The sequence below is a fragment of the Homo sapiens genome, chromosome 15 (assembly GCF_000001405.40).
Source record: "Homo sapiens chromosome 15, GRCh38.p14 Primary Assembly".
In the NCBI taxonomy this organism is placed as follows: domain Eukaryota; kingdom Metazoa; phylum Chordata; class Mammalia; order Primates; family Hominidae; genus Homo; species Homo sapiens.
Window position 1 is genome coordinate 69,654,288 of NC_000015.10, and position 27,662 is coordinate 69,681,949.

At 49.3% G+C, this 27,662-nt stretch overlaps 1 long non-coding RNA gene across 2 annotated transcripts in view, besides 7 other annotated features; it reads left to right on the plus strand.

Annotated features, from left to right (window-relative positions):
• The window catches only part of PCAT29 (prostate cancer associated transcript 29), a 103,551-nt gene that overhangs the window by 62,088 nt on the left and 13,801 nt on the right, over nucleotides 1-27,662 (plus strand). The window contains exons 2-3 of one of the 2 annotated variants that reach the window (NR_126438.1): nucleotides 17,453-17,620; nucleotides 23,259-23,353. This is a non-coding gene — a long non-coding RNA (prostate cancer associated transcript 29). The remainder of the gene's footprint in view (nucleotides 1-17,452; nucleotides 17,621-23,258; nucleotides 23,354-27,662) is intronic. The other variant, NR_126437.1, reaches the window with a different exon arrangement.
• Nucleotides 10,773-11,388: an enhancer, noted in NCBI's record as "H3K4me1 hESC enhancer chr15:69957399-69958014 (GRCh37/hg19 assembly coordinates)". NCBI's record gives its function as "activates a minimal SCP1, AML or CMV promoter by ChIP-STARR-seq in naive H9 embryonic stem cells {active_cell/tissue: H9 hESC(naive)}" and the evidence as "EXISTENCE:reporter gene assay evidence [ECO:0000049][PMID:30033119]".
• Nucleotides 12,005-12,619: an enhancer, noted in NCBI's record as "H3K4me1 hESC enhancer chr15:69958631-69959245 (GRCh37/hg19 assembly coordinates)". NCBI's record gives its function as "activates a minimal SCP1, AML or CMV promoter by ChIP-STARR-seq in primed H9 embryonic stem cells {active_cell/tissue: H9 hESC(primed)}" and the evidence as "EXISTENCE:reporter gene assay evidence [ECO:0000049][PMID:30033119]".
• Nucleotides 12,060-12,109: an enhancer, noted in NCBI's record as "active region_9659". NCBI's record gives its function as "activates an Ori minimal core promoter by ATAC-STARR-seq in GM12878 lymphoblastoid cells {active_cell/tissue: GM12878}" and the evidence as "EXISTENCE:reporter gene assay evidence [ECO:0000049][PMID:35858748]".
• Nucleotides 12,140-12,189: an enhancer, noted in NCBI's record as "active region_9660". NCBI's record gives its function as "activates an Ori minimal core promoter by ATAC-STARR-seq in GM12878 lymphoblastoid cells {active_cell/tissue: GM12878}" and the evidence as "EXISTENCE:reporter gene assay evidence [ECO:0000049][PMID:35858748]".
• Nucleotides 14,698-14,777: an enhancer, noted in NCBI's record as "active region_9661". NCBI's record gives its function as "activates an Ori minimal core promoter by ATAC-STARR-seq in GM12878 lymphoblastoid cells {active_cell/tissue: GM12878}" and the evidence as "EXISTENCE:reporter gene assay evidence [ECO:0000049][PMID:35858748]".
• Nucleotides 25,289-25,578: an enhancer, noted in NCBI's record as "active region_9662". NCBI's record gives its function as "activates an Ori minimal core promoter by ATAC-STARR-seq in GM12878 lymphoblastoid cells {active_cell/tissue: GM12878}" and the evidence as "EXISTENCE:reporter gene assay evidence [ECO:0000049][PMID:35858748]".
• Nucleotides 25,627-25,796: an enhancer, noted in NCBI's record as "experimental_40793 CRE fragment used in MPRA reporter constructs". NCBI's record gives its function as "activates a minimal promoter by MPRAs in K562 erythroleukemia cells, with activity observed for the introgressed 15:69972338 variant allele {active_cell/tissue: K562}" and the evidence as "EXISTENCE:reporter gene assay evidence [ECO:0000049][PMID:34662402]".

The following is a 27,662-nucleotide window of genomic DNA, read 5'->3' on the forward strand; positions in this document are numbered from 1 at the left end:
TTTGGGAATTCCAAATTCCTTCCTGGAAATCTTCATCTCGAGCCCTCATTAACTTCCTTCCCGCCAGAAAGGCTCTCAAGTTAGGTTTCACTGATTTTCTCTCACATTTCTTCCAGAACCACCACCACAAATGGTTGTCATGAATGTGCCTTTGCATTCTGTGAGACTACTGTTGATTTTTGCATTGTCCTGCATGCTATCCAATGCCTCTTGTATAAGGATCACTAAGGCAAATGCCTGCTATAATTGAGTCCTGGCCAGGGTTGGGGGTAGGCTGGACACTGAGATCTCTGGAAACAGCAATATTTTTCCTTTTAGTAAACATCCAGACTCAAACATTTCCCTTCATAGCTTGATTACCAGAAAGCTCAGACAAAATGAAGTGCTCCATTCTAGCAATTGTATTAGCCCACATTGTAATATATATTTTTCTTTTTCTTTGTACATGTCAATTTTTTATTGTGGTAAAATATGCATAGCATAAAACTTATTTATTTTATTTTATTTTTTTTGAGACGGAGTCTCGCTCTGTTGCCAAGCTGGAGTGCAATGGCACGATCTCGGCTCACTGCGACCTCCGCCTCCCGGGTTCAAGGGATTCTCCTGCCTCAACCTCCCAAGTAGCTGGGATTACAGGTGCCTGCCACTCTCGGCTAATTTTTGTATTTTTAGTAGAGATGGGGTTTCACCATGTTGGCCAGGTTGGTCTCAAACTCCTGACTTCAGGTGATTCACCTGCCTCTGCCTCCCAAAGTGCTAGGATTACAGGCGTGAGCCATGTGCCTGGCCTAAAACTTATTTTTTTTTTAAACTATTTTTAAGTGTACAGTTCAGCAACATTAAATGCATTCATATTGCTGTGCAGCCATCACCACCATCCATCTGCAATATTTTTTCTTTTATTAAAGATCCAGACTCAAACATTTCTCTTCATAGCCTGGTTACCAGAAAGCTCAGACAAAATGAAGTGCTCCATCCTAGCAATTGTATTAGCCCACGTTGTAATATATATTTTTCTTTTTCTTTGTATATGTCTATTTTTTATTGTGGTAAAATATGCATAGCATAAAACTTTTTAAAAACTATTTTAAGTATATAGTTCAGCAATATTAAATGCATTTATATTGCTGTGCAGCGTCACCACCATCCATCTTCAGAACGTTTTTTAAAATCTTCCCAAACTGAAACCCTATACCCATTAAACAATGATTTCCCATTACCTTCTCCCCTCAACCCCTGACAATCACCATTCTACTTTCTGTCTCTGTGAATTTGGCTTCTCTAGGCACCTCTGTACATGGGACCCTACGGTGTTTGTCCTTTTGTGACTGGCTAATTACACTTAGCATAACATCCTTAAGGTTCACCATGTTGTAGCATGTGCCAGAATTCCCTTCCTTTTATGTATGTATGTAGGTATGTATGTATGTATGTATGTATGTATGTATTTATTTATTTATGACAGTCTCACTCTGTCGCCAAGGTTGGAGTGCAGTGATGTGATCTCAGCTCACTGCAGCCTCCTGCCCACCCCCGGGCTTGAGCGATTCTCCTGCCTCAGCCACCTGAGTAGCTGGGAATACAGGCACGCGCCACCACTCTTGGCTAATTTATTTTTTGTATTTTTAGTAGAGATGGGGTTTCACCATGGTCAGGAGTTGGCCAGGCTGGTCTCAAATTCCTGACTTCAAGTGATCCACCCACCTTGGCCTCCCAAAGTGCTGGGATTACAGGCATGAGCCACCGCGCCTGGCCCCTCCTTTCCTTTGAAAGGCTAAATAATATTTCATTGTATGTATATACCACATTTTCTTTATCCATTGATCCATCAATAGACATCTGGGTTACTTTCACCTCTTGGCTATTGTGAATAATTCTGCTGGGAATATGGGTGTTCAAATCCCGACTTCGAATTCTTTTGGGTCTGTATCTGTACATGGTTTTTAATTTTCTGTTTTAACAGCTTTATTGGATGTATGCCTATTAATATAAGAAGCAAATATACCTGGCCAGGTGCGGTGGCTCACACTTGTTATCCCAGCACTTTGGGAGGCTGAGGCAGGTGTATCATGAGATCAGGAGTTCGAGACCAGCCTGGCCAAGATGGTGAAACCCCGTCTCTACTAAAACTACAAAAATTAGTTGGGTGCGGTGGTGGGCGCCTGTAATCCCTGCTACTTGGGAGGCTGAGGCAGAAGAATCACTTGAACCGGGGAGACGGAGATTGCAGTGAGCCAAGATCACACACTGCTCTCCAGCCTGGGGGAGAGAGAAAACTGTCAAAAAAAAAAAAAAAAAGAAGCAAATATACCTAACCTGTATCGGGTAGCACTGTATGCCTGGCACTGTTCTAGGTTCTGTGATCATTGTAATGTATATTTTACAGTTGGGCAATTGCTCTTTTTTGGAAGAAGATGGAATATCAGTTGTAACAAAGCCATTAACTAACTAAGCTGCCTCTACTTTCTTACTCCTGACATATTCTTCAGCCTGAAGCAACATGACTCCACCCCCAGCACCATGGAAACTGTTTTGGCAAAGGTCACCAGTGACCTTCATGTTGCCAAATCCAGCAGAGAACTTTAGGTCTCTTACTTGCTACTGATTTTGACCCTGTTGACTATTCATCCTTCCTGAACTTCTTCACCGGCACCTGGGACACCACCACTCTGTCCTGGTTTCCCCCTGTTTCCTTTTCTCCTCTGTCCCTTCGAAGGGTCCTTTCCCTTTGCAGACCCTCAAAGGTAGGCACTTTTAATAGCTGTCTCCTTGAGTTGCTATTTTTCTCTCTTGACACTGCCTTTCCTGGTGACTCCCGGTCTTCCATGTCACTGTAGTCACTGCCTCTTGGAGCCGATGACTTCCAAATCTCTACCTCTGGTGTTAGGCTCCATCCTGACCTTCAGTCTCACATATCCAGCCTATTGCATTTCTCTCTAGAATGCTCCACAGTTATCTTAGCCTCAACATGTCCCAAGTGGAGCTCATTTTGGCACCTCCCCCTGACCCACTGCCCAATCTCAGCAAATGACATCACAGACCCAGTTGCCTAAGCCACCAACCAATTGACCGTCTTCCAGTTTATCTTCAGACCTCACCAGTCCCACCTCCTTGCTACTTTTCAGGCTGATCCCTCTTTTCTATTCCTTTTCCTCATTCCAAATTCAGGTCCCATCCTCCCTAGCCTGCAGTGTTAGAACTAGCTGTGGACTGGTCCCCCTCTCTCTAGTCTTGCCCTATTCAAATACATCTTCCACAGCTGCCAGATGGATTAATCTCAAACACAGGGCTGACCATGTCCCCTCTATACTTAAAACTCCCTGTGTCTTCCTGGCCCTTGTAGGATACAATCTGAGCTCTGAGAATGGCATTTACCCCTTCTCCTGCCGCATCATCACCATTGCATGGTCCATCCTTCCTGTGAACGTGCACTGTGTTTCTACTACCCATCAGCAATGATGGGAGGGTACTGGAACTGGAACTGGGTGCAGTGATGAGAAATCAGACATGCTCTGGCCTCACAGCCGGAGGGGAGGGAGATAGTCACCCAAAAAATGTAGCACCACTCAGTCTGGTCCGTTGCATAACGAAAAAGAACCTGGTGACACAGGAGCATAGAAGGGGTAGGACTCGGGGGTGGGGGCAGAGCTCCAAGGAGAGGGAAAGGCCAGTGCCTGATCTTTCCTGGTGGTTCTGTACTCTCTCACTCTGCCTTCAGGATCCATCTCTTCTCCCTCTCCATTAATTCAGGCCTTCTTGATTTCTCACCAGGATTGCTTTAATGTCCTCCTACGTGATCTCCCTGCCTCCATCTCTTGACCCACTTCACCCACTGCTGCCAGAATGTCCTTTCTAAAACCCAAATCTGCCAGCCTGGGCAACATAGTGAGACCCCATCTTTACAAAAAATAGAAAAAATTTAGCTGGGCATGGTGGCATGTGCCTGTAGTCCTAGCTGCTTGGGAGGCTGAGGTGGGAGGATTGCTTGAGCCCGGGAGGCTGAGGTTGCAGTGAGCTGTGATTGTGACACTGCATTCCAGCTTGGGTGACACAGCGAGACCCTGCCTCAAAAACAAAACAAAACAAAGCAAAACAAAAAAGCTCACAAATCTGATCTTATTGCCCTTCAGCTGACAACTCTTTGATGACTGCTACAGTAAAATGTCAACTTCTTGGTGTGACTTCTGAGGCCCTTCACAGTTAGGTTTTCTTCTTTCCTACCTGAGCTGCCCTCCCCTCCTCGCCTCTCCTCCTCTTAGACTGCAACTCTGCCCCACTGCTCATGAGTTGCCGAACAGGGCGTGCGTGTGCGTATCTCCAGCCTTGGGCCATGCCGCCCTCATCACCATATTGCTCCTTCTGCCTTCTCTGTTTCCTGCTTACACGTCAAGGCCCCTCTCTGTGGAGCTGCCTCCTCTCTCTCAAGAAGGATGCATGGATCTGGGAGGATGCAGGATGCATTTCTGTGCCTTTAGGGCTCCTTCTGTGTCCACCTATGCGGAGCCTGACATGCCACAGTTTGCTGGGCAGCCTCTCTCCCAGCCTTAGTGAGCCTCTACAGGGAAAGAAAGATGTCTGGTTCATCTCTTTAATGCTGGGCCATGCAAGGGGTTTGGCAAGGAAAAGCTCCTCAGTAGCTATTTACTGAACACAGGATTCCAAAATCTGACCCTGTCCCAGAAGAGAAGGCACAGCCCCACCTCATGGAACTTTCAGTCTGTCTGGGTGGCACTGGTGGACCAGTCACTGTATTCTCCATTTCTGCCTTACTAGGTGACTCCACTTTTATTTAGGGCAGCAACAGGCAGCTCTTAAAGAAAAAAAAAAACACATATTCCAGAGCTTTGGGAGGCCAAGCAAGAGAACTGCTTGAGACCAGGGGTTTGAGACCAGCCTGGGCAACATAGCGAGACCCTGTCTCTATGAAAAATTTAAAACAATTAGCCAGGTGTGTTGGTGAATGCGTCTAGTCCCAGCTACTGAGAAGGCTGAGGCAGGAGGATCGATTGAGTCCAGGAGTTCAAGACTGCAGTGAGCTATGATTGTGCCACTGCACTCCAACCTGGGCAACAGAGAGAGACCCCATCTCTAAAATGAACGAACAAACAAACTCTGTTTCCCAAATTCTCCTAAAGCTATGGGTGTCCATGTGATGTGGTCTCACCAGTGAGCTATAAGCAGATGTCTCCTAGATGGGGATCCCAGAAAAGTTATTACTATTGTGATGAAAAAGGATAAACTCCCCGGCAGGCCCCATTTTGCCCTTTTCCCTTCCCAGCCTGCCTGTCTGGAATGCTGCCCTGTGAGCAGGAGGGAAGAAGCCACAATGTGGATGGTGGAGCAGGAAAGGAGTAGGCGCTGGGGGCCCTGTGTGGGATGAGAAGTTTCCATTCCATTCAAAAGGTGGTGAAAGCCACTGGAGGGTTTTAAGCAGGGAAGTGGCATGGCCTGATTTCCACTGTACAAAGCTGACCCTGGCTGACTCACGGTGAGTGCATTGGGAGGGCAAGAGTGAAGGCAAGGGCCTGGCCTGGGGGGTCCACCCTCCTTCAGCCTAGAGGCACCAGTTTCCACAGAGATGCCCATTGGCCTGGCCCTTATGGTCCCTTCAGAGCCCAAACATTGCTGGAAACTTTGCCCAGGAATGTGATGCCTGGGGCCACCAAGAGCACACCACGCCACCTTTGCCTGTCCATTCTGCAGATGAGCAATACAGACCCGGAAAGGCCTAAGGCTGCTTAGCTCTAAAATAATGGCTCACTCACCCAGTGCTTCTAATGTGGGGCCTAATCACTTGTGGTTAGAGAGGGAGCCCCACGTTCGGTCAGGAAGGGGTGGGGGCTGCAGGTAGGGGAGGGCATCACTGATGCCCAGGAGACAGACTTTAGTTCAGCAGTGAGGCAGTGCTGGCCCAGATTGGGGTGGCCATGGGGAGAAGGAGGAATGTGGACAGACTGGGATGTGTGTTGGGGGTGGGATGGTCAGGGACTTGCTGATAGCTTGGGTGTGCGGGATGAAGAGGGGAATTCGAGCTAACTCTGGGATATTTTGCTTAAGCACCTGAGTGGGTGGTGATGTCATTGACAGAGGTGGGAAGTCTAGGGAGCAGGGAGGAGGAGCAAGTTTGCAGCAAAAGCTAAGAGTTTGGTTTTAGCCATATGCATTAATTTTGAGATGGCTCCTAGTCATTCTCCTGCAGTTGAATACACACCCTGGGAGTTCCAAGGAGCAGCCAGGACTGGAGATGGAGGCGTGGAGTCAATGACGGAGACCTGGTATTTGATGCAATTGGATGGGATGAAGTTATCTTGGGACCATTGGGAAAGAAGAAAAGAAAGAGGCCGGGGGGTTCCCCCTGAGATTATCCTGCACATAGAGACTGGGACATGTGGCAGAGTTGGCTGAATAGACTGAGAAGGAGCAGACAGGGAGTAGGAAGAAACCCAGGAGAGGGAGCAGTGGAGGCCAAGTATAAAGCATTATAGGAAGTGGGAAGAGGTCCTGAATCAATCACTGCTGAAAGTTCAAGTGAAAGGAAAAGAAAGTGAACTGGACACTTAGGGGTCGGTGGTGACATGATGAATGCTGAGTCAGCTAAGCCATGGGGACAGAATGCCCACTAAGAAAGTGGAGGCAGGAGGTGCAGACGATTTTTTAAACACTTTTTGCAGTGAAGGGGAGCAGAACATTGAGATGGAAGCTGGAGAGAGAAGTGGAGCCCAATGGAGCTGTTTGTTTATCACAGGAGATCCTAGAGCAGCCTGTTGTGGATGACCTAATGGAGAAAGAGGAAGCGATGTGCAGAAGGAGGAGGTATCTACGGTTCAGATAACAGAAGTGGGATCCAAAACCCACATGGAGGGAATGGCCTTGGGCAGAGCAGTGGCCTTCATCCACAGGAGCAGGAGGGAGGCTGCCAGGTTTCACGATGGGAAGATGACTTTTCTGATTTATGCTATTTCCTGAGCAAAGCATGAGGCAAGTGAGGCTGGGGGTAGTGAGGGGTGTGGGGAGAGGAGAAAGGCTGAGACAGTTGCTCTGGAGAATGGGAACGTGCAAGACAACGGTAGCAGTGCTGTGGAACAACACCAGGGCCCAATTGAGATTTCAGGCTATGAATTTAGAGGAAGCCAGTCTGTTTTTTCTCTACCTTTATTTTGCTGTGTGGGTGCAGGCATTGAGTAGGTGGGTAGTTGGATTTAACCCAGGTTGAGCATGGTCTTTAAGTATGAAGAAGTAAGGGGAGAAAAGAAGATGAAAGATGGATGTGATGGCAGAGGGCTGATGGTGGTGACAGAGGAGGGTGAGGGGTGGGAGGGCTTGGCGAGGCGGAGGGATCACTTGTCATCTGGAAGGATGACAGGTGGTCTCCCGGTGGGATGTTTGAAGTGGAGATTGTGTGGATGGTGCCGTGTTCATGATGGTACAAGATGTGATGCCCGTGGGAGTAGGTGGGGAGGAGGGTGACAAATGGTTGGACCGACCTGGTAGAGGAAGAGAGAGGCACCAGTGTTGGGTGGATCTGCAAAGTGGATGTTGAAGTCACCAAAACTGATGATAGGATGAGGGTGGGGAGGAAGACAGGGCAGATGTGTCAGTTAAGTCTGTGATGAATGTGAGGTGCAACCCGGTGGGGCAGTGGTGACAGGTAGAGTGTATGGACATGGATTCAGAGAGGATGGCACTTAGAAAGGGAAAGGGAGGGCAAATGTTTTGGAAAAGGCAATCCCAGGGTCTGTGGGGGCGTGGGAGAGGAAACAGGGGGAACTGGTGTGTTGGGGGCAGCCAGGTGTCAGTTAGGGAGAGTTCAAAACAGAGGCTGAGGGTATGGGCTTGCTTGTAATGACAGGGTCTGAGTCCCCAGCACCGAGAGAGGGTGCTGTTCCTGGAGGCTGGAGGTCTCAGTTTCTGTGGGAGGCTTAGATTCCACATCTGTGTGGTTTCAAGTTCCTCAGAAGCAGAATGGTGTCATGGTCACTTTTGAGTGGGTGATAGGATGCTACGGAATGAGGGGTATGGGCTCAGCCCTGGACTTGCAGGAGCTTTCTAGCTGTGCCTGGGCTGATGGGCATGGAGTGCCCAGCCAGGCAAACCCACCAGTTGGTAGTAGGAGGCTGATGGCCTCACTTGTGGTGGGAGGCCCCGCCCTCCACGCTGTCCAAGTTTTGCAGATAAGAGACGAAACACATTTCGAGGGCAACTGAGCACTGGACACCATGCTGTGGCTTGGCAGGTGCCCGCAGCACAGGTGTGTGGGTAATTGTGTTACATGGGAAGATGCACAAAACCACCAGCCCTGGGCTGGCCTTGGGGGCAGGAGCAGAGAGGGGCTGGGCAGAGGTGGGACAGGGACATTACCTTCTTGCAACGAGAAGACACCTCAGGGCACAAGCCCAGGTTGGTGAGAACATTTGCATTTCTTTAAACAAATGCCAGAGAGATGGGGGAAATTCAGGCCAGTTTCCATAGAGATGCCCACTGGCCTAGCCTTTATGTTCCCTGCAGAGCCCAAACATTGCTGGAAAGTTTGCTCAGGAATGTGATGCCTGGGGCCACCAAGAATACACCATGCCACCTTTGCCTGTCCATTTTGCGGCTCAGCAGTACAGACCTAGAGAGGCCTAAGGCTGCTTAGCTCTAAAATAATGGATCACTCACCCAGTGCTTCGAATGTGGGGCCTAATCACTTGTGGTTAGAGAGGGAGCCCCACGTTCAGTCAGGAAGGGGTGGGGGCTGCAGGTAGGGGAGGGCATCACTGATGCCCAGGAGAGAGAAGAGGCTTCCTGGAGGAAGCGGATCTGAGCAGGACCTGGGCGGATGAGCTGGATATGGGGATCTGTGAGGATAGGCAGGGCTTTCCTGGGGCGGGGAATAGAGTGGACAAAGGTGTGGTAGTGGAAGAGTCGGCATGTTGCTGGGACAGTGAGGTGTTTGCTGAGTCTGTTTTCAGGCTGCAGAATTAACTGTTCAACTTGGCTGCTTTTGCACAGCTAGATTTAGGTAACCTCTTAGGCTGCTGTCAGCCTGACTACCTTCTTTAGACTCTAAGCTCGTTGGCTGGAAGGGAAAAGACTGTTCACCTGGTCTGCCCAGGCGGTCTCACTTAATCTTCTCATTAGCTCCTAGGAGCAGATGCTCTTGCGTCCATTGTGCAGCTAAGGAAGCTGAGGACCCACTGAAGGCTGAGGGTTTGACCCATCCCTCCCACTGCCTACAGGGCTGTGGACAGAGCTAGGAGCATATGTTGTGCACTCCTGACTGGGCATCCAGGAAGAGAGAAGACTCAGATAATCCCAAGGGCATCCCCTCAAAGTCTGATGGCCCTCTGCCCCTCTTTGGGCCTGTCTTGTAGAGCAGCAGGAAGAGCTATGAAGTCAGAAGCCCAGGCCAGGACTCCAGCCCTGCCCCTTACTGGCTGGACCACCTTGGACCAGCCAATACCCTCTCTGCCTCTGTTGCCCAATCTCTAGCATGAAGGGCTGTGCTGAACAATCTCCAAGTCCCTTCAGCTCTATAAGCTGGGGCCACTAAGCTTCATTTTTTGCCTCCAGCCTGCTGAAGGCTGAGAACTTGGTTCGTGCCTGCCTCTGGCCTTCCTCAGCCATGGATTCGATGCTTCTTGGTCTCCTCTTACTCAAACACGTCAGAAGCTGAGACCTGTCTCAACATAACCTCATGCCAGGGGGTATTGTGTCAAATGGGCTCACCTGTTGGTCCCAGCCCCATTCCTTATGAGCCTTTTGAATCTGTATTCCCCACTGAAAGCAGACATTCACTCAATCAAGCATGTGATAGATGCCCTAGGGCTGTGATACTGGCAGCTGCCATTGACTGAGTGCCTACTATGTCAGACGCATTCCATATTTTGCATCTGTACACTCTTCCTGCCAGGAATGGAGTTGTTTCCCTGTTATGCTGTTGACAAACTGCAGCCCAGAAAGGTTAAGTGACTTGACTAAGCTCTCACGACTTGGAAGTGGAAGAGTGGGGATTAGAACCCAGAACTCTGTGACTTCAAAGCCTGGGCTCCTGCCGTGTGACATATCAGTGAGATGCCCATTCCTGGCTGGGCCCTAGGATCCAGAAACATCACATCAGTGACCCTGCCTGCCCACAGGGCACCCTCAGCAGCTTCTCCTCCTCAAGCCCAGGAGTCTATAATCCTGGGCTATTCCCTTTCTGGGGCCACTCCCCAGAAAGGACAGTCAGACCCCCTGGGTGGTCTTTCTGTGGCATCGAGTGGACAGGGGCCTCCCTCTCTGGCTTGGGCAGGCAGGCGTGTGCTACTGTCGTCTCTAGGCAGCCATCGGATGAATAACTGATGGTGATTAGCTAAATCATAACATTGCTCATGCCATGCATAAGTGATGAGCCAACTGGTGCCAGGCCGCGATGAGAGGCAGTGAGCACCCCCACCTCACCCCCCAGCCCGGAGAAGCCACCACCGCGCTGCCTCCCTGTGTTATCTGGCACATCAAGTGCTGCGACAATGAATATAGATTGACCTTATTATAGCAGCCGGCTGCTGGTGCCAGGCGCAGCCAGGCATACTTTGCACAAATTAAAGGTGTCAGCATGTAATTTACGGTTCATGGCAAAAAGGGGTGGTAGGGGTAGGGGAGGCACTGAGGCAGGTAGAAAGGAAGGTGGGCTGGCTGTGGGGCTGGCACCAGGAGCCCAGGCGCTAATGACAGGAGGCGCAGCCGTGGTGTCATTTTCATCCCGGTTTGCTCATTTTTAGCTATTTCTTGCTCAAGGGGGGCAGCCCCCTCTCCTGAGCCCTCCCCAACATGCTCTGTGTGCATGTGTGCGTGTGTGTATTTTTCAGCTAAATTACTGGTTTTACCTGAAGAGCGTAAAGTAGGTGTGCTAATTTACAGCTCGGCAGATAAAGCCGCAGCGTGCAGCGCTGTCTGGGAAGCCTGTGATCCGACATCATTTTACTAACACACCCGAGAGCAGCTTGACACATTGAGTCGGGCCTGTGATTAAAGTTGTAGTCTTCTTTCCCCCTCCCTCTCTCTTCTCCAACACGGAGAACAGATTAAACTCTAAGTAATAGATCTCGGTTTTCTTGCCATCCCACTGATATACACAGTACACAGTTTGACACAAAGAGTAAGTTATACATCACAAACAACAGCCTCTGCTCTTTACCGCCCAGAATTAATTTTCCATTTGCTACGCTTCCCTCCTCTCCAAGCCCATTTTCCTGTCCAGCAGGGCTCTCTCCTCTCTTGAAAAGGCAGGTGAGGAGAAGTGCAGGTCAGGCCTGGAAGAGGTGGCTCGGGACAGAGTTTAACCCTTATGGTTTAAGGATGAGGAAACAGAGACCTGGAGAGAAGCGACTTCCTGATGTCGCCCTTTGTGTCTGTGGCAGTGGTGAGGCTCAAACCTGTCTTCTGGTTGATAAGCCAGGCCCCACCTCCCATGCCCAGACAGCAGAGGCTGCCCGAGGAGCTGCTTGTTTGTTTGCCCTGCTATTCCCAGCAACCTGCCAGCAAACTGTCTCTGCTTCTCTGCTCTGCTCTGTGCCCCAGGAGGGGACCTCTAAGGGCTGCCCATGCCTCTGACCACTGCCTGGGCTTGGCCAGCGGGAGATACCAGAATGAGAAGCAACAGTGGGAGGAGAGAGGGGCTGGGCTATTTCTCCTCTGCTTCTCCCTCTGGGACGTGTGTCTCGGAAGAGCTGCCTCCCTCTGTGACTGCGCTCCTGTGGGGCGGCCCCTCCTCCACGGCCCCCACTCCTGCTGGTCTCTGGCCATGACATCCTGCCCTGCCCTGTAGATGCGGGCTGCGGACAGCTGTCAGCTGTTCTAGTCCAGGAGTCTCCCCATCCCTTTTGGATTTCCTTAACCCTGCCTAACTCAGTCACAAGCCCCTCCATCTGTGTCTCTTCATTTGAGCCACCTGGGGGGAATTCTGTTTCCTGTGGGGACCTCGAATGATACTGGGGTGGACCCATTCTTTATTGAGGACCTACGCTGGCAGCCATCTGCCTAAAGGCACACACTGGGAGGAAGGAGTCCAGACCTCCCAGGGTAGCACACATCCCTCTGGGAGGGTCCACCATTCACCCGGCTTGCTTTCCTGGCCACTGACACCCCTCCCCAGGCCCCACCGCAAGTCTTTGTACACCACCTTAGTGGAGTCTCGTGTGTGGCCCTGTGAGGCAGGGTCTGGCTAGGCCCTCTAAGGGATGTGGAAACGGAGGCCCAGGGAGGCTGGGGCTCTTCCCTAGGGTCACCCAACTTTGCACAGCAGAGTCCAGTTCCAAATGTGGGGCTAGCTGGCTCCAGTGCTGAGCAACTTCCTCTGTGCTGTGTGGGAGGTTCGTCTTGCTCATGTAGCTCACGTAGAACACACACACACACACACACACACACACGTGCACACACAGGCACAAATGACTAAATGCTTTTAAGGAGCTGTAGGAGAGTATGGGCAGGGATGCAAGGCCAGAAGTGAGGAGGGTTAGACGTGGCAGGGAGGGCTGGGTAAATCCAGGAGGGCATTTTGGAGGAGGTCAATAAGTCCTGGAGATGATTGGAAACCGCGTGGAAGCATATAGCCAGGAACTCTCTAACCGCGCCTCGGTAGACTGGTTGCACTGAATCACCAGGTTGGGTGGGGTTTAGGGGTATGCTTTAAAATTAGACTCCCAGGCCTCATCTCTAACATATAGAATCAGAATCTCTGGGGATGCAGTCCAAGAATCTGTTTTGTTTTGCTTTGATATGCAACTAGTCGTGGGAGCCACAAACTCTTCCCACTTCCCCATTTTACGTGCTGGGGAAGTATGTAAAGGAAGTAGAGAGAGGCCTAGGGACTTGCTCAGGGTCTCACAACAACCAATTCCAAAGCCAGGGCTGGCACCCAGGCCCCTTGGTTCCCAGCTCGGTGCTCATCCGACTGCTCATTCACCCTCGGGCTTCTCAGTGGGCAGGGTGGAAACACAGCTTCCTTAGATGATGGTCTCAGCCTCCTCCTCCCCCCGCCCCAGCCACCCTGCAGCCGGTTCTCAAGATGGCAAGTGGGGGGTGGATGAAGGTGGTGGCAAAGCGAGAAAGCGCCTGGAATAACACGACATTTTGAAATGTGAATCACTGGCACTTTCTGTTTTCTCCTGTTCCCCCTCTGCACCCTCCCATTCCCGCCCCCCCCCCCCCCCCGCCGACCAGGCACTCTCTGAGCTGTAGGAACGCTAGGCCTGGACATCCACCCAGCGTGTGGAACCAGCTGGGGAAGCCACCTGCGTGCAAGAGTGGGTGGAGTCTGAGATGAGAGCAGAGACTGGGGCTCTGGGCCTACTGCTGTCCCTTCTTGCTGTGTGACTTTGGGCAAGGCACTGTACCTCTCTGGACCTCAGCACTGGGATGCTCACCATAAGGCTTGTCAATACCCTTGGGCTGCCACATGGTGGGGGTGGGGGCCCTGCAGGACCTAGTCTATCCTGAATCCCTCTTCTGCCCTCCTGTCCTGACATTCCATCGCTCGTGTTCCGGTCTTTTGAACCCTGAGTAACAGGAGCCCAGGACGGTGCTGGTGGGAGGGTGCTGGGAAAGGGGGAAGCTGGGGAGGGGGCAGTTAGGGCTGCCAAGTGGAACAGGGGCCACTCAGCCGCTGAATGAGTGTCTGGACTCCCACCCCCAGACACTTCCTCCACATTCCCTCAACTCAGGAGCTAATGATTCAAAAACAGAGGTCAGCTCCTGGCTCCATGTTGACATGCAGGTACAGGGCAGAGCAAGCCAATGGTACCCTGGACCTCAGGGGGCTTGTGCCCTCTGTGGTGTGAAAGGTCACTGGGCATTTCTTAAGTGCCTCCAGCGCCAGGGCTTCTCCTCAGGCACCAAGGAGTGAGTTGGCTCTGTGTGTGTTTGTGTCCCCATCCCCAGATCAGGCCTGACTCACCCCGTGTCCCCACAGTCCAACACAGTGCTGGGTGCACAGCAGGGGCCCCAGGGACATCCCTGCATGGAATTTGTGCTGCCTGGCCAGGACCTCGTCAGCCTCAGCAGGCAGGAGCCTTGGTCCCAAGAGGATTGCCTTTGGGCAAGGCTTTTTTTCAGGCCCTCAGTGACCACATTTCTAAAATTGTGGTAGTGGCCAGTTTCATAGGCTGAGGAGCTCTTTCTGCTCTCCCTCGCCACAGGGTCCCTCTGCCTCAGCAGGAGAGCAGGCCAGAGTGCAGAGTCTGAGTGTGAGGCAGATGTGCATACGCAGGAACTCAGACAGGGCTGGCACATGGCAGCTGCTCAGTTATCGTCTATGAGGGGAAGAAAGGAGGAGGAGGGAAGAGGCAGAAAGAGGGTGAGGCTGGTGTGTGCAGCCCCATCAGCTGGCTCTGTGCTCATCTGATCCCTCTTGATCCCCCAGCTGGCTCCTGCCCACCCTCCTCTACTTCCTCCTGTGGCCTTTTCCCCTCCTCCTGAGAAGAAGGTGATATTGGAGGAAATGGTGGGGAGGGCACTGGAGAAAGCTCCCTAGGAAGTGGAGCTCTGTTCTAGAGACTAGGGAAATTAGGCCGTAAGTCTCCAGACCTCCCCTTCTGAGGAGCCCTCCATATAGCAGGAGGTGCTCAAAGCTGAGTGTCCCAATCCTGAACTTGGCAAACAACCTAACCCTAACACCCCACTGACGGTGTCCCAGGTGTAGACCCCTGTCTGGCTAGGAGGGACAGTGTTTAGTTTGCCACTGAGTGAGGGTGGTGGTGTGGGGTGGGGCTGTAAGAGAGAAATGCACCCCAGGAAGTGGGAAGCCAAGAGTGGGGAGAGTTCCATGCCCAGGAGCCCAGGGCCCACTTGTGGCTGCTCACGCTCACCATGTTTTGTCACCTGCCACTGGCTCCTAACCACTGATCAAAAATAGTCCTCTGCTTGCCCTTACATGTGACCGGCCTGTGGTCAGAGCACCCTACCCAGGCTGGGGTTGGGCTGCACGAGCATCCTGGCCAGCCCTGCCCCAAATGAGACAGGAAGTGCTCTGAAGTGCCTCTGTAGCTGATGGGGGCCGGGGTGGGGGGACCCTGCCAGCAGCTATCTGGGAGAGTTTGGCTTATGTTTCATAGTGTTTTCAAGGTCAGTTTCTTCCTCCTTGTTACCTGTGCCTCTTGTTTCTCTTAAAGGCCATCTGGAAAGAGGATATGGCCCAGAAGCATTTCTGTTCTCTCTCTGGACCTGAACATGGTTCCCCAAGGGTGTATTGTCTTGGCTGGCATGGTGGGTGGAGAGGGTATGGGGACAGGGTGGGCCCTAGCTTAGAATCCAAGCCACAGGGGCTTTAAACCCAAGAGAAAAAAACGTGGAGAGCTACAACCAGGCATTTTACCAATGAGGAAGCAACTTCTAGGGAGGTGAAGTGACTCACCTAGTGACTTCAAAATAAAAAATTCCCATTTCACAGATGAGGAGACAAAATCATAGAGACAAAACGTGACCTGCCTAGGGTAACACCATAGTGGCAGAACTCTGACTGGACCCAAATCTCTGGGTTCCTCGCTTCCTTCCATCCTGCTGGACAGCTCTGTGTGTGTGATCTGTTGGTAAATTAGTTATGCTTATCTCCATTTACAAATGAGGAAACTGAATCTCAGAACAATGGCGTACTTGGCAAATAATGACACCTTCAGCTCTGCTTGAGATCAGACGCAGCAAGTCCAGTGGAGGCCCAGGTCCCAGCTCCTCTAGGAAACCTGTCCTGACGATTCCAGGCCACATGGAGTCCTTCCTTCTCCAAAGTCTTACTATGCTTATTTTAAGGAATAGAAAAATAATGCTAAGAAAGAAGCAAGGAAACATTCGTACAATGCTCATGGCACGCTGAGTATTTGCCAGCACTCATGGGCGCCTAGGGACCACCTTGAGCAGGACTCAGGATGATGCTCATTTTACAGGTGAGGAAACTGAGGTTCAGAGGGCTCAGGTCCCAACCCATGTCTGTCTGACTCCCAAGTTCAATGCGCTTTTCTCCCTTATTCAGCCCCACATTCTCCTCCTCTAGAATCGTTTCCTGAGTGCTTTCTTGTGTCTGCAATTTGGCTGTAAGCTCATCAATCATAGAGATCATGTCCCTGCTTGCACCCCACGCAGCTGACCTGGGCTTGACCTCGGCAAAGGGTCAGCACAGACTCTAGGCCTTGAGGAGGCAGGGATGGGGCAGAGGCAGCAGGCCGGCTCCAACTCCCCTTAGCCACTTCCTAGCACAGTGAAGGCTGTTAGTTTATTTCTCAGAACCTCAGTTTCTTCATCTATAAAATGGGGTGGTACTAACCATGGAGTCTCAGGCTTGCTGAGTGAAGGTGCAGTAAGGTAAGGAGCTTTGAGTGTCAAGAGCCCAGTGTGAAGCCTGGCACATAGTGGGTACCTAATATGAACTGGGATTACTCTTGTCAGCCTGCTCATTTTGTGGGGCATCTCTGGGGTGCCCTCTCACCCCCAGCAACTATGACCCAGCCTTCCTTTCCTGGAGGAAGCCTGCCTCTCCCTGGGCCCTGTGTGTGTAGGGGCTGGATCTGGCTGATAGGCACACAGGGGACTGTGTTTCTGCATCACTCACTTTGGGTGGTGGCTGTGAACACTGCAGTCTGTGTGTCCCTGCCCTGCCTCCAGACTTTGTTAACCCTGAGAGCTGAGGGTTTGTCGGTGCTTCCAGACGCCCAGGGGGAGGAGAGGACCTCAGCTGAGACACTGGTTTCCCCTGGCTAGCCTGCCTCGAGCTAGGGAGAAACCCTTCAAGATGAGCTCCTGGCTTCAAAGCCCAGTGGGGTTGGGTGGCTGACTACAGGGGCAGAGCACAGCCCAGGAGATGGTTGCTGCAGACATGCTGCTAGGCACATCTCAATCACCACCAAAGCAGCAGCTGCCAGGCCCTCTTTTGATGGAAGAGAGACGTGGAGGTGGGGAGAAGAGAGCCTCCCAAGTCAGGGAGCCAGGGGTGGGATGGGGTGGGCCATCTGCACGATCTGAGCTTCCAGTTTAGTTCTCCAAGTCTTTAGTATTAAGTGGCAAGGGCTCCCTTAGATGCTCAAATCAAGCAGATATCTCGAAGGGGAGTTTGGACCTGTCTGGGGCAGGAGTGCTGGTACCCATGGGTGGTGTTTTCTCTGCACTGAGTTATCACCTAGCTGTATATGCAGCCCTGCCTACATCCCGCCCTTGCTCCCTCAGCCCCAACCACTCTGCACTTTCTTCTGTCCCTTGAATAAACCAAACACGTTCTTTCCCCAGGCCTTTGCTTCGACTGTTTCCTCGTCTCAGACAGCTCTTCTTCTGACCTTATGCAGGGTACCCTTTCTCATCAAGACCACCCCGCTCATGGGGGCCTCCATTCCCCAGGGCAGGTGACCCTCTTATATGACCTTCATGGCCCGTAACTCCATTGGTAACTATCCTTATTAGATTGTTTCTTGCTTTTTTTTTTTGTCCCCCCACTGCAGTGGAAACTCCCCAGGAGTTTGGATGCTTCATCTCTGCTGAGACCCAGTGCCTGGCACTGAAGGTGCTCAGGAAATACCTTCTGAATGATCGGAAGCCCCTGCCATCTGCTAAACTGGATCTATGATGACAGAAGCCGAGGAATGTGAGGTTCATCTAGAGAGTTCTTGTGAATTTTCCAAGGGTAAGCGCAACACCTAGCTCATTAGATCCCGGGATAATCCACAACCCCTCCTTCACTCAGAACAGGTGAAAGTACTGAGACCTGGAGAGGGGTGGGATCACCATGAAGGTGACACACCTGGCTGGAGGGGCAGCAGCAGGAGTGTGGCCCCTTCCTAAAGCTGCAGGCTTATGAAACGAAACATAAGGAGGGCACGTTTTCACCTGGACATGGAGCCTCAGCCTCACAGGTCCTGATGGGGCCAAGGCCCCTGTGGTAAAGCCCCTCCTGCTTGCAAAAAAGGATGCTGAGACCCAGGGAGGTGCATGGCTGATCAGAGCTCCCACCACAAATTAGAAGTAGTCTTCAGATTGTAGATGCGTCTGTTTCTTCGTGTGCCAGGCTGGTGGGGGAAGTCAAGCTTGCCAATGTCCACATGGGGCTAAAGAGGTCTCAGATGAGGATCTCAAAAAGGATCCTGAGGAGAGAGGGCCAGGTTGCCTAGAGCCCCCCATCTGTGGAAAACCTGGTCAGGGGTCACTACAAGGGAAGAGTGAAGAGCAGTGGCCTCAAAACTTTACAATTAAGAAAAAAAAAATCAGACCACACAGTCATCAATATATGTGCCTGAGCACCTTCAGTGCAAGGCACTGGGTCTCAGCAGAGATGAAGCATCCAAACTCCTGGGGAGTTTCCATTGCAGTGGCGGGACAAAAAAAAGTCAAGAAACAATCTAATAAGGATAGTTACCAATGGAGTTACGGGCCATGAAGGTCATATAACAGGGTCACCTGCCCTGGGGAATGGAGGTCCCCATGAGCGGGGTGGTCTTGATGAGAAAGGGTACCCTGCATAAGGTCAGTCAATATAAAATATATCTTTGTTTATTCACTATGTACATTGAGATATAATAATATGTATGAAAATGTGCAAAAATAGAAATTTTGAAATGAGATTTTAAAGCATATATAACATTTCTGTTATTTTCTTCCCATATGACAATCGTGCCCAGCCCTGGGCCTTAGGGCACTCCCTTTGCAGAGCACTCATTAGGAACATGTGCTTTGGGGCCCAGCAGACCTGTGTTTGAATCCAGGACTTTCCTGTCATTATCTGTGGCTTTAGGGCAGCTTCTGGGACACAGTCTCTTCCTCTGTAAAATGGGACAATAATTCCTACTTTGCTCTATGCTTTAAATGAGGTAATACTTAAACGGTGCTTGGTACCAGACTTGGCAGCCTGGAAGAGCTCATATATGGTAACTATAGTGATTATTATTACCATGATCAGGCTCATCCTTGTTTGCTAAAATTAATGAAACTCAACTCTAAATACCATGGACCCTCAGGCTTGTTTCTTGAGCTGCACCATCCTCACCAGAGATGCTGGGTCACCGCTGAGTATAAGGCTGGAACTAAGATGACAGTTTCCCTTGGCCGAATACGATGCCCCCAGCATTGATGCAGATGGACCTGGAGCCTGGCTAAAGAAAGGCTGGCTGGGCGTCCCCGAGGATGGGGCTGAGAGGCCGGTCAGATTTCAGCTTTCTCTGTGTTCCTTTTAAAATAATTGAAGTGTCAGCTTGGGTTCATGGGCTGGTCACGGTTTCCATCCCTCCCTAACTTCATAAGGCAAGTCCATGAATTATACAGTGCCGGAGCAGACGGTGCTAAGTAAGGATGCATCACAAGCTGGGCTTAATAAGGACACTCCAGCTATTCTTGGAAGGCATTTGCAAGTCAAAAATATGGTGCATGGAGATCTGATGTCGACTTCACATTCTGAAGATTTCAGCTAGGTCAGCATTATTTTATGTTAAATCCCATCAAAACAAAAAAATAAAGAAATAAGGAAGCGCTATAGTACATTGTTTTGCTTCGTTTTTAATTTGAACTTTTTAGTAATAACACAAATGGTCAAATCTGCCTACCTCCTCCCACACACCCCAACCCCATCTCCCATTCCCACACCCCCTCTAAGTAATGTCAACACACATTCTCATGGACTCATATGGTGTGGGTAGGCATTGCCTTGCTGTGGAATTAGAAAGTATTCCTACCATTATAATTTTGTGCTAAATAGTGAGAATATAAAAGCTTTCCTATTTTCTTTCTTTTTTTCACCAAGCTTTCGCATGACCCATACCTGCGCTTTTCTATAACATGTCCACGTGTTAAAAACTCAGCCATTTATCAGAAAAATAGGGACTGACATCTATTTAAAAAATTAAATTGCGCTGGAGGATAGGAACCAAGAACCACAGTAAAAGCTGGGAGGCTTTTCTCCTGTACTCCAGGAGGGTGGCTTTTCATCCAGAATGCCCCAGGAGAGACGGTTGACCATTCTGGATGGCTCCTTCGTCGCTTCGTGAGAATCAGCTGCCTCCGTAGGAGATGCTGGGCCCTGTAGCGCAGGGATCCCACTTAGACTTCCCTTTATGGGTTCACATGTGGCTTTGTTTATAAACACAGTATTTCAGGGGGAAAGGCAAGCAGGCATCACGTGCCAGGAGGTAAGGGAAGCACAGAAGCAGGAATATCTAAGAGGCCCCTGCAAACCTTTTCTGGCCATTGATGGCAAAAAAGGATCAGGGTTTCCCTAACTCACCTCCTTGCAACCTGGAGAGCCACTAGCATCTTTGTGTACACAAGGGCCAGGTTTATTTTGGGAATCCTTAAATGTAAACCCAATACAGCAGCGATGAGAGTATTTATATCAGCAGCAAAGTGCAAGAACAGCCTGTGAACTGGAAACCTCTTGGACTGGAAAAGTCCAAGTGCTCAGAAGAAGGTAGGTAGACCAGCATTTCTCAAACTTAAATATGCCCAAGAATCCCCCTGGGGATCTTGTTTAAATAAAGACCAAGATTCTGCAAAGGGCCTAAGATGTTGCATTTCTAAAAGTGCCCAGGCAATGCTGCTGCTGATGCTGGTCCTTGGACCCCACTTTGAGTGGTGAGGGTGTAGGCTAGGTCCCTTTTTCCAGGAAGGCTTATATTCAGGTTACTGGGCTCAGGTGCTGTGATGGGGGTTGGGGGGACGTGGTTTCGTGTTGGCTTCCAGATTGTGCCTTAGATGGACATGATTGGCTCATACAGGATGGTGGCCGGGGGTGCTGGGCAGGCATGGGCATGGGACAGAACACAGGACCATGAGTCAGGAGAAGTGGATTCTCCTGGCACCACCTGGCTCCCCTACTCAGCTGTGGAGTAGTAGAGAGTATTTGATGACAGGGAGGTCATTGGCAGCTTTCAGAAGAGCAGATATAAAGTCTCTAGGATGTGTTAGGTCAAAAATCTAAGTGTAATGGGGTGTGTATGGTAGGCTGACACTGAGTAAAGAAAGTGAGGGACCACATACACATAGATGAGTTTGTGTAAATGGAGAACTTCTCATTCTGAAAAGATACACAAGAAACCATAAACAGTGGTTGACTTTGGGGGGGAGAAACTGAGAAAGAAGATACATGGAGCAAGAAGAGACTCCCTCCAATTGAAACACTCACTTCTCTGACCACAGTGATTGGTTCAGTGGGCTTGGACCTGTGACATGCCCTGTTCCAATCAGAGTGAGTCTCTGGATATTTGCTGGACTGTGTTGTTCTCCATCTCATTCCAGTGAGACTCACTTGTCAACATCTGCTGATATCTGCCATCCAGTGTGTTGTTCAGACAGTTGTTCCCCTCCTTGCTGGCATCAGCTGGGACATGACAGTGTCCTCATCTGATCTCACAGGACATCCTCTCCTGTTGTTGTGAGTCCCCTGCGAGGCTCTGCCTTTCAGGTGACCCCTCTGCCCCACTCCTTGTGGGCATGGAGAAGCCCATCTATTCTCTCTGCACCAGGCTGAGTGAGGGAGTGGCACTCTCTGTGTCCATATGTCTGGGCTCCTCCACTGGACAGGGATCTCTCTCTAAGGTTTGCTATCATCCCAAGGCCCCTCCCTTCTTGTTTCCCAAACTGGCCAGAGATTTCTGGGTCTGATACTTACTTCCTCTCCCACTGAGATTGGACCACAGGAGGAGTGAAGCATGTGACTCCTTGTCCCTGCCTCACATATCAGTAGCTCCTTCTGCTGCTCTCACCTCTGCCTCCGCCCACCCCACCCCTCTTAGTTATCCATGTCTAATCTCGGCAGCATGGCAGTCTGGTTCTCCAGCTCTCCTTTTTCTAATCTAGACTTTATGCCCCAATTCCTTCAGAGCTTTGCTTCTGATGATGCTAAAACTAGGCTTTTAGAACTGGAAAAAAAAAAAAAACAGTTTTTGCAAATCAAAAGCCTTATCTTTCAAGAACTTGTCTCTGCTATGAGTACCAAAGTTCTATTTTGAAATGAAAAGAGTTGACTGTTTCTCTTCTCCTCACATTCCGTGTTCCTGATCTAACAGTCCTAATCTTGCTTGAGGCCAGGCACCTTCGCCTTGGGTACATGGGTGTGGGAAGTATGATCTTCCTGCTGTGGCATCAATGGCCCTTCAGCTCCCCGCAGCCTTCCTAAGTTCTGCAGGGGAATAGGAGAAAACAATTTTGGAGTTGGGGCACCCAACTAGTGGCAGAAATAGTCCCACTTCTGCCACTCAATTGTTGTGCGACCTAGGGAGTGGCTGAATCCTTTTGAACCTCGCTTTTCTTATCTGCAAAATGGGGAGAGCAACAACCACCTCTCAAGGTTGTTTCAGGATCAAGGCAGATAACATATGTGAAAGTGCTTTGCAAATCACAACGTATGGTATAAACATGAAGCATCATTACTTTCCAGTGTTCTTAACTTCTTTGTGTAGTTTTCCCTGCCAAAGGCTTCTGTCTTGAGCTCGCATGGCAATTTGCTCACAGAGCCATGAACGTATTGTATTGTGCCGAACTTATATTTTAACATGTCTGCTGGCTTGCACTGTTTGTGAGTGCTTGGAGGGCAGGGACCACACCTATGTGATCTTGGCACCTCTTGCCTTCAGCCAGTGTCTGAAGTAGGTGCCCAGCATGTGTTTGTTGATGAAGGGGTAGACACTTAGCAAGTACTCAGTAGATTCATGTAATATAAATAAATAATTAGCCAGGAGCAGCAATGGGCTGGAACTTCTGTAGACTAGTGGTTTTCAACTGGGAACAATTTTGTCCCCTTCCTCCCAGTGGGTATTTGGCAATCGGAAGATGTTTTTGGTTGTCATAACTTGGGGAGTGCTACAGATATCTAGTGGGTAGAAGCCAGGGATGCTGGTAAACATCCTACAATGACCAGGACAACCCCCTACAACAAACAATTATCCAGTCTAGAATGTCAAGAGTGCCATTGCCTAGAAACCCTGCTGTAAGCTCTCTTTTTAAACAGTCCTGAGAAATAAGTCCTGTGAGTCCAGAATTGGAAGGGAAGCTTAGACTTTGGGTTTAAAAATGATGTCTTGATTATCTTTGATGAATGGAAGGGGGTGGAGATATGGTAGCTAATGATGAAGATTCTGAAAATTATTACTAGCTGGGGGTGGGAGAGGAGAGAGACTTTGGAAAATGTCCAGCTGAAGAAGAGAAGAGGGTTGGCATCGGACAGGATAGGGTGGGGCCCTAGTGTGCTGGGAGGCACTGAAGGAACCTCTGAGTAGAGAAGTTAAGCATGTGTGCTGAGCTCTATGATTGTCCATTAATTCCCTGTCCTCCTTCTGCAGGAGGCACCTGTTGAATTCAGGCATCGGCATGTGACTTGATTTGGTCAATGAAATGTGAGAGAAGTGACATCCACTTTGAGGCAGGCACTTTCCGAGTGAGTATGTACTTCCCCATGTTCCCCAGTGTGGTTGCTTAGCCCAGAATGAGATAACAGCAACATAGAGCATGACCTGTAATTGCCGTGAAGATGAGAGAGAAACAGACCTGGAATGCCTTACACCACTGCAGTTTTTTGGATTATGTTTTATTGCACCATAATCTATCCTATCTTGAGAATGTACTATATTGGGGCTGACGTAGCTGGCAATCCTGTGTAACTGAAGATCAGCTCATCTTTCCTTTCCCCTTTGAATTGGTTTGCACAGGGATCTCTGAGGTGTCTTGGCTAGAGAAGACAAATGCCAAGTGACTAGGACCCCTAATTGTTGTCAACGAAAAGAGTCAGACTCTGTAATGTATTTGGAGGGGTTTATTCTGAGCCAAATATGAGTGATCAATGGCCTGTGACACAGCTCTCAGGAGATTCTGAGAACATGTGCCCAAGATGGTCAGGCTACAACTTGATTTTATACATTTTAGGAGGACATAAATCATCAATTAATATGTGTAAAATACATTGGTTCAGTCGGGAAAGGTGGGACAACCTAATTCAAAGATTTTCTGATTGGTAATTGGTTGAAAGAATTATTATCTAAAGACTTGGAATCAATAGAAAAGAATATCTGGGTTTACGATAAGGGGTTGTGGAGACCAGAGTTTTATCATGCAGATTAAGCCTCCAGGTAGGAGGCTTCAGAGAGAATAGATTGTAAATGTTTTTCTTTCTTTCTTTCTTTCTTTCTTTCTTTCTTTCTTTCTTTCTTTCTTTCTTTTCTTTTCCTTTCCTTTCCTTTCCTTTCCTTTCCTTTCCTTTCCTTTCCTTTCCTTTCCTTTCCTTTCCTTTCCTTTCCTTTCCTTTCCTTTCCTTTCCTTTCCTTTCCTTTTTCCTTTCCTTTCCTTTCCTTTCCTTTCCTTTCCTTTCCTTTCCTTTCCCTTTCCTTTCCTTTCCTGTCTTGCTCTGTTGCCCAGGCTGGAGTGCAGTGGTGCAATCTCGGCTCACTGCAACCTCCACCTCCTGGGTTCAAGCGATTCTTGTGCTTCAGTCTCCTGAGTAGCTGGGATTACAGGTGTCTGCCACCATGCCCAGCTAATTTTTGTATTTTTAGTAGAGATGGGGTTTCACCATGTTGACTAGGCTGGTCTGGAACTCCTGACCTCAAGTGATTCACCTGCCTCAGCTCCCAAAATGCTGGGATTACAGGCATGAGCCACTGCACCCAGTCAAGAATAGACTGTAAATGTTTCTTATCAGATTTAAAGAGTCTTCTATCAGTAATTCCAAAAGGGAGGAGGGTATAATGAGGCATGTCCAGCTCTCTGTTCCCATCATGTCCTGAATTCATTTTTCAGGTTAACTTTGGAATGCCCTTGGCCAACAGGAGGGGTCCATTCAGATGGCTGGGGGAACTTAGAATTTTATTTTTGGTTTATACAGTCCATCTGCATTCTCAAAGCTCCAGGAGGCAGGAGCCATGGTGGGTCCAGGGGAAGGCAACTGACACTCCAAAACTCCCTTCTCACTGCTGCTTCAATGCCAGCTTCACAGAAAGATATATGATGGTTCTATTTATTTAGTTATCACAAATGTCACTATTATCACAGAAGACATTAATTTTTAAAAGAAAAGGAAGAAAATATGTCACATTTCTGTTTTGTGCATATGCTGATTGAATGAAAAGTTTATATCAGATGCCAACTTAAAATAAGGACATATAAATATTTAATTGTTTATATGTATGTATACATTGCTGTATAGACAATATTTATCTATACAGTTATAGAGCACTGATTCTCAGCTGAGGGGTGATTTTTACTTTCCAGGGAGACATTTGGCAATATCAGGAGACATTTTTGGTTGTCCCAGCTGAGGGCTTGGGGGTACTCCTGGCATCCAGTGGGTAGAGGCCTGGGATGCTGCTAAGCATCCTTCAGTGTACAGGGCAGTCCATATTATCTGAACTGTGCTGAGGTTGGGAGAGCCTGGCCTGGATGTACATCTAAAGCCAGGAGTTCTGGGGCTGTTTTGTGTGAAGCCATGAGTGCTGGCATCATTCTTCAGAGCATCATTGACACACATCTGCTTGATTCATTTCACGTCCCCACCTTGGCTGACTCATCTAGAAGAAACCACAAGTCACAGATCAGCGAGGGGCCAGCCCTCACGGTCCTTACAAGACAGCCTCGATGGCACTGGGGTTCCCCTGGGAACACACATGGTCAAGCATAGCTGCCTTGCTCAGCTCTCAGGATGACAACTATTTACACCTAGTGTGCTTTATAGCACACCTGGGATGGGAGTTGCAACGGCGGAAAGGTAACGGTGTGGGAGGAAGGGAGTGAGAAGGGGAACCGGAGAAGGGAGGGCCAGTCATGTTAGTTTTATGAAGATATGACAATTAGCGCATCATTTAAAACATTGCTCATAAGGATTGCTTATGCACAATTTGTCTATATATGAAGATATTGAGATATGTGATTTTATAGCTACAGCTATATGTAATATATGTGTGTGTGTGTGTGTATACACACATTAGTAATGAGGTGAAACATTTACTGTCCTAACAGCTGGAACTAACATTCCACATGGAATGGGAACTGACTTTGAGACACTTTCTGGATAAGTCACTGGACTGGAGAGAGAAACTTGGAGGGCAAATGCCCCAGCTGGACTCCCAGAGAATAAGCTAGCTTGTTGCTGAAGATGGAAACCTTCTCACTTTTGCTCCTGAGAGGGGAGATTAGAAAAAAAAATAGAAAGGAAACAAAAAACAGAGAAAAAGAAGGAGGAAGACAGAGTAGCCAGAAAGATGATGAGATGCTAGGATGCTTTATGGGTGGCAGAGCCCGTGAGAAATGTGTGGTGGGTTTTGGGGACGGGGTGAAGTGGGAAGGCCTTTAGGAAGCAGACTGTGGTGCTACTTTGCCACTTTTCTAAGTGGGAGAGAAAAAAAGAATGAGAGTGTGGCCCTAGAACATTTGTCATGCAGTGTGCTCAGAGCTATATTAGGATGTCTTTCCTGTCCTGTCTGATGCTCTATGTGGCAGGTTTGAGCTGCCCAGGGAAGAGACTCAGCCTCCAGGGCCCTCTCTTCCCCTGTGCCCTGCTCCATACCTCCATGTGGTGCATGAGGGAGGGCCCAGGAGGCTGAGGCCATGCTGGGGCCCTAAGCTCTGGCCTAACCAAGTGAAGTCTCAGGGGAGACCTTGAACCATAAGGCAGGGTTTAGTGTTTCCAGCCACACGGATCTAGATGTTAAGGAAGCTAGGGAGCTCCAGCTGACAGGTGGGGAACCAGACTTACTCCACCAAACGATTAGACCAGATGCCAACTCATTTCCAGATCTCATTGCCAAAGATACTAGAAAAGCCCTTAGGTAAAACAAAGCGAGGAATTGGAGGCAGACACAAATCCACCAAGTGGAGAATCCACACACTTGCAGCAATGACACTAATGCTTTGAAGGAGGCAAATTTCTCAGACTTGTCACATATTTATTTGCAGTTTCAGTCTCTAGAGATTCCAGAGTCTGGGATCTGGACTGGGGTGAAGGGAGGCATGGTTTTGCCACAGCCTGCCCTGTACTGCTGAATTCTCCTGCGCGTGCTCAAGTGCTTGCAAATGAAAGGTCATCTGGGCCTTGATCAGTCGTGTGGCCTGTGGATGGTGAGCAGCCTGGCAAAGGCAGAGGTCTGTGAGGTGGGGGCAGTGGGGCTCCGTGGGCAGGTTTGCCATGCCTGAGCACCAGGTCCCTACTCTGACACAGGCACACCACAGAGATATTGCAGGTTTGGTTCCAGGCTACCACAATAAAGCAAATATCACAATAAAACAAGTCACACAATTTTTTTGGTGTCCCAGTGCATATAAAAGTTGTGTCTGCATGATACTGTTGTCTATTAAGTAAGCAATAGCATTGTCTAAAAAACAATGTACATACCTTAATTAAAAATACTTTATTGATAAAAAATGCTAACGATCATCAGAATCTTCAAGTCGTCATAAACATTTTGCTGGTGGAGGGTCTTCCTTCAGTGTTGATGGCTGCTGACTGATCTGGGTGGTGGTTACTGAAGATTGGGATGACAGTGGCAATTTCTTAAAGGACAAAAACAATGAAGTTTGTTGCATCAATTGACTCTTCCTTTCAAAAAAGATTTCTCTGTAGCTTTTGACAACATTTTATCCACAGCAGAACTTCTTTCAAAATTGGAGTCAATCCTCTTAATCCCTGCTCCCGCTTTATCAACTAAGTTTGATATTCTAAATACTTTGTTGTCATTTGAACGATGTTCATAGCACCAGTA